General features: G+C 49.7%; 2 annotated features.

Annotated features, from left to right (window-relative positions):
- Nucleotides 2,065-2,565: an enhancer, noted in NCBI's record as "H3K4me1 hESC enhancer chr1:23251233-23251733 (GRCh37/hg19 assembly coordinates)". NCBI's record gives its function as "activates a minimal SCP1, AML or CMV promoter by ChIP-STARR-seq in naive H9 embryonic stem cells {active_cell/tissue: H9 hESC(naive)}" and the evidence as "EXISTENCE:reporter gene assay evidence [ECO:0000049][PMID:30033119]".
- Nucleotides 7,703-7,887: a silencer, noted in NCBI's record as "fragment chr1:23256871-23257055 (GRCh37/hg19 assembly coordinates)". NCBI's record gives its function as "represses an EF-1alpha promoter that drives an FKBP-Casp9 reporter gene in an ReSE screen in K562 erythroleukemia cells {active_cell/tissue: K562}" and the evidence as "EXISTENCE:reporter gene assay evidence [ECO:0000049][PMID:32094911]".

Genomic DNA, 9,119 nt, shown 5'->3' on the forward strand with positions numbered 1-9,119 from the left:
CTCATGGGACCAGTGTCCCTGGGAACACACTTGGGTAATGCTCTGGGAGTTGCAGGTTGATCTGGAGCTAGGGGTTAAAGTTAGGCCTGGAAAACACCATGGCATAGAGCCCAGAAAGGGATGGGAACCAGGAGGCTGTCCTCTGATTCACCATAATTGTAAGTTTCCTGAGGCCTTCCCAGGGGCCAAGCAGATGCCAGAACCATGCTTCCTGTACAGCCTTGCAGAATTGTGAGCTATGAGTGAATCATAACTCACTCATTCATTCATTCATTCATTCAAGAAGTACTTACTGAATTCCTACTGCACAAAAGTACTGCATTAGATGCCGTGGGGGAAACAAATGACTCCTGCCCCCAAGAGCTTATCAGGGCATTTGGGCCACTTCACTGCCCATGAATCAGGCACCCATGGAAAGCCAAGCACTAGGCTGGTGCTGGGAGCGCTGCAGTGAATGAGACCCATGCCTGCCCTCGTGGAAGTGCTCAGTCAGTGGAAGAGACCAGCAGGTACATGGGTCACTACAACGCAGGTGATGTGCATGGCATTCAAGGTGTCGACAGCTTCCGGGAAGGGAGCAACTAACCCTGAAGGACACCCCTTTGAGGAGCTGAGCAGGGTTCCAGAGCATGACTGGGAGCTCTCCAGGAAGCTGAGAGAGGATGGAGATGAGTATTCCAGGTCGAGGGAATGGCAGATGCAAAGGTATGAAGTCAAACACTGACGTAATATCTTTTGTGAATTTCTACGTGCTATGGTCTGAATGTCCGCAAAAATTCCTGTGTTGAGACATAATCACAAATGCAATAGTATTTAGTGGGGACCTTTAGGAGGTGATTGAACCATGAGGGCAGAGCCCTGGTGAAGGGGATTGAGGCCCTCTGAAAAGAGGCTTCACATCTTGGTCAGCTTGCTTGTTCTGCTCTTCTGCCACATGAGGACACAGAGTTTGTCCCCTTTGGCCCTTCCATCCCTTCCACCAAGTGAAGACACAGAGAAGGCACCGTCTATAAGGAGCAGGCCCTCATCAGACACTGAGCCTGTTGGTGCCTTGATCTTGGACTTCCCAGCCTCCAGAACTGTGAGAAATCAATTTCTGCTGTTTACAAGTTACCCGGTCTTGGGTATTTTGTCATAGCAGCAGAAACAGACTAAGACACTATGTAAGTAACACTGGCACAGAAGTGATTGCTAGATCAAACGTAATATATGACCCCTTATGGCTGTTCATAAAGCAGGCTGGCAATGCCACCAGATCCCTTAAGGAGGACAGTCTGTGACAGCTCATGGTGAGGTCAGCTGGTTCAGGCACCACACACAGGCACACAGCACGGGTGGCTCAGCTTGCAAATTCCAGGCCTTCCTTAGGTGTCCTGGGGCCTCTGACCCATCACCCAAGATGACTTCTGTCTCCCAGCCTGGTTCCTCTGAGAAGCCTGGATCCCCTTTCTATTTCCACCTGCCCCAGTTCCTGGACCAAACTGGGCTTTCCTTAGACTCTCCTTCCCATTCTGAGATCCAGTACAATCTCACAGGGGTCTACTCCCTGCTCAGGGACCCTGACCCAGGTCCCCAACTCCCAGCTCTCTCATCTAACCCTTATTGGCTCCTCTCAACCTTCTTCTCACCCTTCTCTCTCACCCCTGGGACAGCTGAGACCAATCTTTGCCCCTCCAGGCTCCAAATGGGCATCCACAAGTTCAGTCATTTCTCAGACACAGGGGCATCATGGCTGCCACAACAAAATGTCATCAAGGAGAAAAAGAGAAACAAGGGAGGGGCTGTTTCCCATAGTGTCTCACTGGGTTTGGAGTCATGGCTATGGAGACCCCACCCCCACCCCCATGGGACTATAGAAATGCTCTGCCCCTCCCCACCGCCCCGCCCCCCTCCACTCCTCCACCAAACCCATCAGATCAAAGTGTCTGCCTGGATCAGCCCTGCCCCAGAAACCCTGATGACACAGTGCAGGGGACCCTGGAGCCACCAGCACCCCCTACCCTCTACCAATCACACTTGCTGCGAGCACCTCCTTCCTTGCTGCCCCTGTGGATGGCACAAAGGTAAAACCAAGACTCTATTGCTACAAGCCAGGCACGGTGGCTCACGCCTGTAATCCCAGCGCTTTGGGAGGTTGAGGCGGGTGGATATCTTGAGGTCAGGAGTTTGAGACCTGCGTGGCCAACATGGTAAAACGCTGTCTCTACTAAAAATACAAAAATTAGCCAGGTGTGGTGGTGGGCGCCTGTAATCCCAGCTACTTGAGAGGCTGAGGCAGGAGAATCGCTTGAACCCGGGAGGCAGAGGTTGCAGTGAGCCGAGATCACACCACTGCACTCCAGCCTGGGCAACAGAGAGACACTCCATCTCAAAAAAAAAAAAAAAAAAAAAAAAAAAAAAAAAAGACTCTATTGCTACAGCACTGTCCCTGGTGATGGTGAGTCCCCAGGCAGCAGAAACCGTGCTGGAGTTGACCCCATCTCCTTCCCTCAGCCCCCCAGCCCTACACACTCACACACATCCATAAACACCCACTTTCAGCCAGAGGCACTGCACATTTACACACACTCATTTGTAAGCAACTCCTACGGTGCACACAGTCATGTTGTCAGCTGCACACAGACACACATTCACACACAAAGCCGTGACATCCCTCCCGCCCCACATCCGCGTGTACACACAGGCACACAGATGCAGGCTCATGCTCAAACTCAGCCCCGCACTCTGCTCGCATCACATGTACACATACTCAGCCTCTGTCATCACAACAGAGAACATTCTCCAACACTACTCCACATCAGGCACCGTTCTGAGTGTTTTCCCTGTATCATCCTGCTTAATCCTCTAAACTCGTGCTTTTCAAATTATTTGTGGTGGAAGACTAGATTTGTTTTTCCTTTTTTATTTAACATTTTTTATTATTTTTAGAGATGACATCTCACACTGTCGCCCAGGATGGTGTGCAGTGGCATCATCATAGCTCACTGTAGCCTCGAGATCCAGGCTCAAGTGATCCTCACCACCTCAGCCTCTCGAGGAGCTGGGACTACAGGTGTACCCCACCATGCCCAGCTTTTTTTTCCCCCAACCTGTTGAGGATCCACTAGGTGGTATGACTGTGAAATCAACACCCAAACTTGTCCAACACCCAAACCCTGTTCCACAAGGCCAGAGTCCACCAGTCACATGTTTGGATGCCCTGGCAATGTCAGGATGTCACACTAGGTTCTAAAATGTCTGTACCTATCTTGTGTCGTACACGGGTAACAAATAGTTCTAGGACAGGCAACATTCCTGCCTATATTTTAAGTGGCACTGCCCTAAAGCACCCAAGAAAGTAAACAACTGTTATCATCCCCATCTCACAGATGGGAAAACTGAGGTGCAGCGTTTTGTTTTTTGTTTTTTGGGGTTTTTTTTTGAGACGGAGTCTCACTCTGTTGCCCAGGCTGGAGTCCAGCGGCACGATCTTGGCTCACCACAACCTCCGCCTCCCGGATTCAAGCAATTCTCCTGCCTCAGCCTCCCGAGTAGCTGGGACTACAGGTGCGCGCCATCATGCACGGCTAATTTTTTGTAATTTTAGTAGAGATGGGGTTTCACCATGTTGGCCAGGCTGGTCTCGAACTCCTGACCTCGTGATCCACCCGCCTCGGCCTCCCAAAGTGCTGGGATTACAATCATGAGCCACTGCGCCCAGCTGAGGTGTAGCATTTTGAAGAAACTTGCCCACAGTTACACAGCTAGCAAGGGCAGGAGCCAGGATTCGAACCCAGTGGTCTGCTCTAAAACTCCGCTATCTCAGGTCCCTCCACACTTGGACACAGAGTTCCACTCACACACACAACAGAAGACACCTGCAAACAGAGAGGGGCAAGCACTCCCAACATAAGCACACACATACAAGCATGTATCCATCCACTGCAGTAAACACACGTACACACAAAGACATACAGCCACAAGTAAACAGATGTGTCTGTTTTGCTAACCAAGAAGTTCCCCAGTGCCGGCACAGTGGCTGACACACAGTAGGCACTTAGAAAATATTTCCAAATAAATCAATACCCTTGTGCTCATTCACCTTCCTACCCACGATGACACATGAACACATGTGCACAGACTCTCATGCATGGAGACATTCAGGGAGGGTTCCATGGACTAAACAGCGGGTTAAGAGCAGTCTTTGGGTTCAGGTATATGACAGTTCAAATCCTGTCTCCATCATTAATGCTGTGTGACACAGGGAAGTCACTTCACTTCTCTAAGCCTCAATGTCATCATCTAGAAAATGGAGATTAATTCATTTTTTTAATTTTTTAGACGGAGTCTCCTCTGTTGCCAAGGCTGGAGTGCAGTGGTGCAATCTCGGCTCACTACAACTTCTGCTTCTCAGGTTCAAACGATTCTCATGCCTTAACCTCCCAAGTAGCTAGGATTACAGGCACACACCACCACACCCGGCTAATCTTTGTTTTTTTGTTTTTTAGTAAAGATGGGGTTTCACCGTGTTGGCCAGGCTGGTCTTGAACTCCTGACCCCAAGTGATCTGCCTACCTCGGCCCCCCAAAGTGCTGGGATTACAAGCATGAGCCACCACACCCAGCCTAATTCATTATTTTCTGAGCAAATATTTATTGGCTGCCCATAAGCGATGGTCAGTTCACCAGGTACTGGAAATAGAGCAGTGAGCAAAACAGACAAAAACGCTTGCACACACAGAGCTCATGTCCTACTAGGGGCAGATAGGCACTTAAACAATCAAACACAATATATTAGGTGGGGAGGAGGCCACGAAAAAATTAGCAGGAAAGGCTTTGGGGAGTTCTTGAGCGGGATTGCAATTTTAAAATAGACAGAATGGACACAGAAGAGCACATAATCTAAGATCCCGTTTGTATGAAGATCAAGAAGAGTTCATCAATGGTGATAGAATTCATAAGAATAGTTACTTCTGGGAAGTGTGGAGTGGAACCTTACAGAGGGGCTGGAAATGTTCTACTTCTTGACCTAGTTGGTGGTTGCACAGGTACAGGCATACGTAAAAAAGAAAAAAAAAACAGGCACAAAGATTAGTGCACCAGACACATTTTTGTACATTATCCCTCAGTTTACAAAAACAGGATGGTCAGGGAAGGTCTCATTGAGAAGATGACATATGAACAAAGAAATGACTGAAGGGGGCCAGGTATGGTGGCTTGCACCTGTAATCCTAGCACTTTGGGCGGCCAAGGCGGGTGGATCACTTGAGGCCAAGTGTTTGAGACCAGCCTAGCCAACTTGACGAAATCCCATCTCTATTAAAAGTAGAAAAATTAGCTGGATGTGGTAGGCATGCCTGTGATCCCAGCTACTGAGGAGACTGAGGCAGGAGAATCACCTGAACCCGGGAGGTGGAGGTTGCAGTGAGCTGAGATAGCACCACTGCACTCCAGCCTGGGCAACAGAGCAAGACTCTGTCTCAAAAAAAAAAAAAAAAAAAAAGAAATGGCTGAAAGGGTGAGGGAGCAAGCGAGTGGCTCACCGGGGAAGTGCTTTCCAGACAGAGGGGACAGCAGGAGCAAAGGCCCTGAGGCCAGAGGATGCCTGGAGTGCTCAAGGATCCGCAAAGAGGCCAGGATGCCTGGAGCAGAAAGAATAAGGGGGAGAGTATGGAGAGCTGGGGTCCTCTGTGGACCATGAGGGGAACTTGCACTTTTCTCCGCATGAGATGAAAGCTTGTGGAGTGTCTGAGAGCACCAGTGCCGTGATCTGACTTTTAAAAGGATTGCTCTGATTGCCTTGCAGAATGATGGTGGGGGGATGTATCAGTCAGGATTCTCCAGAGAAACAAAACCGGTACGATATACATTAAAAGATTTATTTCAAGGAATTGACTTACCCAAATCAGCTAGCACATCCAGAATCCGTTGGGTGGACCAGCAGGCTGGAATCTCTCAGGCAGGAGCTGATGCTGCAGTACAGAGGCAGAATTTCTCCTTCCTTAGGGAAACCTCAATTTTGTTCTTAAGGCGCCTTTTGCTGATTGGATGAGGCCCACCCAAATTACTGAGGATAATCTCCTTTACTTAAAGTCCACTGACTGTAGATGTGAGCTACATCTACAAATACCTTCACAGCAACACCTGGATTAGTGTTTGAATTATTGGGTTCTACAGCTTAGCCAAGATGACACAGAAAACCAACCATCACGGGGAGCCAGGGGAGAAGCAGGGAGACAGTTAGGATATAACGGTAATAACCCTAGAGGGAGAGGAGAGTGGCTTGGAACAGGGCAGCAGGAGCAGAAGTGGTGAAAAGCGATGGGTTCCAGGCACAGTATGAAGGTCAAGCCAGCAGGATTTGCTGATGGATTGGATGTGGGTGTGAGAGAAACGGGACCAAAAAGTCCTCCAAAGTGTCTGACCTGAGCAACAGGAAACATGGAGCTGCCACTAACTAAAATGAGGCAGACTGCAGGAGGAGCCGGTTTAGGGGAAGATGGAGAATTCCATTTTAGACATAAGTTAGAGATGCCTCTTAAACATCAAGCAGGCAATTGAATATATGAGTCTGGAGGCAGAGGAGTAAATCTGGAGTCTGGGATTTAGCCAGATGAGTCTGGCAAAGCCAGAGCGGAACCAAGGAGATAAGAGTAAATGCGAGGGTGACAATAGCGGCCGGGCGCGGGCTCACGCTGTAATCCCTGCCCTTTAGGAGGCCGAGGCAGGCGGATCACCTGAGGTCAGGAGTTCAAGACCGGCCTGGCCAACACGGCGAAACCCCATCTCTACTAAAAATACAAAAATTAGCCAGGCGTGGTGGCGTGCACCTGTAATCCCAGCTACTTGGGAGGCTGAGGCAGGAGAATCGCTTGAACCTGGGAGGCGGAGGTTGCAGTGAGCCAAGATCATGCCACTACACTCCAGCCTGGGTTACAGAGTGAAACTCTGTCTCAAAAAAAAAAAAAAATGAGTGACAATAGCAATACACCTTGGGGCCAAAGGTAGGTACAGAGCGCAAGGCAGCATGACGGATGAGGACAAGGCAAAGGTGTGGGACCAGTGCATTTGTTATTGGGGTGCAGGGGGAGATTGTTGGAAAGAGGAAGCTGGAGGAAGTGACTTAGGAATATGAGAGGTAGTAGTTGGAAATCGGGGTCCTTAAAATTAAGATGATTGAGAGGCTGCTGTTGTTAAGTCAAGGGAATGACCACAGGACACAGGAGGTAGGATAGATGGCAAGCAAGGAGCTCAAGGAACCCAGGGGCAGGGTGTCAGCAGCATCATCCTAGATGGTTATTAAAAGCACCAAGAATTCAGACCCAGCCAGGCGTGGTGACTCACACCTGTAATCTCAGCACTTTGGGAGACCGAGGGGGGCAGATCATTTGAGCCCAGGAGTTCAAGACCAGCCTGGGCAACATGGCAAAACCTCATCTCTACCAAAAAAACAAACAAAAAAAAAAAACACCAAGACAAAAAATTAGCCAGGTGTGGTGGTGTGCACCTGTAGTCCCAGCTACTCGGGAGGCTCAGGTAGGAGGAGGAGGCAGGAAGGGCAGGGGGGTGGAAAGTCTCCCTGATGGCCTGAGAGTCAAGCTGGGAGTGCTAACCCTCCACCTTGCAAGGCCTTCGTGAGGGCTAAATAGGCCCACACTATGTAGGGAGGGCTAAATAGGGCTAATGGGTGGCCACAGTGCCCAGCAGACAGCCTGGCACATAGTAAAGGCTCTGTAAGCGCTACTCCCTGTGACCCCCTAGAAGCAGCCCTGCACTGACAGTGGGGGATGGGAGGCGGGGCAGGGATGGAGGCTGAGTTTGGCCTTTTTTCCATGGAGCCGTTCTGCCCCCTGGGGGATGGGGCAGGCAATGGCCGGAGCTGAGCCCCAGAGAGAAGTATTTTATAATATCCTGGGGTAGGTGGGGAGCGGTGGGTATTTGACTCCCTGCCCCCGCCCCTACCCTGACTGGGAGCCAGGCCAATGTGTGAGGAGCTAGAGATACAGTGATGGGGCAGGAAGCAGAGAAGGTCGAATCAAAGATTATTCCCCTATCAGCTGCCCTGGGTACCCCTTTCAAAGGCCCCACTTCTGACTTATTAATTAATAATACTGGTTGGGCCCGGTGGCTTACACCTGTAATCCCAGCACTTCGGGAGGCCAAGGCAGGAGCATCACTTGAGGCCAGGAGTTCAAGACCGGCCTGGGCAATGTGGTGAAACCCTGTCTCTACAGAAATTTTTAAAAATGAGAAATAATAGTAATAATAATGTATGCCAGCTCCAGGCTACTGGCCTCAGAATTTCTCTACATGAAGAACTCGGGAGCAGCCAGTCACTGGGGTGAAGAACTAGGAGACTGGTCTTGCAGTTGGAGTTACCTAGCCAGGGTGCTGTTTGTCTTCAGATGGCGAGTTTGTTGGAGGCAGTCTGGGGAGGGTCAGCCAATGGACCCCGCCAACCATGACACCTCCATCATATTTCATCACTGAATGTTATGACCACCTAGATGGTTACTACCAGGGTGGACTATTTCAGGTTTAATAACCAACTTCCGACTGTAGTTACTGGATGCTGGTTGACATTCCTGTTTAAGTTAAGAAGGTAAGATAAAAAGTGAGGCCGGGTGTGGTGGCTCACGCCTGTAATCCCAGCACTTTGGGAGGCCAAGGCAGACAGATCACGAGATCAAGAGATCGAGACCATCCTGGCCAACATGGTGAAACCCTGTCTCTACTGAAAATACAAAAATTAGCCGGGCATGATGGCGCGCGCCTGTAGTCCCAGCTACTCGAGAGGCTGAGGCAGAAGAATTGCTTGAACCCAGGAAGCGGAGGTTGCAGTGAGCTGAGATCGTGTCACTGCACTATAGCCTGGCAACAGAGCAAGACTCTGTCTCAAAAAAAAAAAAAAAAAAACATAAAAAGTGAAATAGGCCAGGTGCAATGGCTCATGCCTGTAGTCTCAATATTTCGGGAGGCCAAAGCAGGAGGATAGCTTGAGCCCAGGAGTTTGAGACCAGCCTGGGAAACATAGTGGGACCCTATCTCTACCAAAAAAAAAAAAAAAAAAAAAAAAAACATTTTTTTTAATTAACTGGGCATGGTGACATGTGCCTGTAATCCCAGCTACTCAGGAGACTG

This window comes from Homo sapiens, chromosome 1 (assembly GCF_000001405.40).
Source record: "Homo sapiens chromosome 1, GRCh38.p14 Primary Assembly".
Classification (NCBI taxonomy): Eukaryota; Metazoa; Chordata; class Mammalia; order Primates; family Hominidae; genus Homo; species Homo sapiens.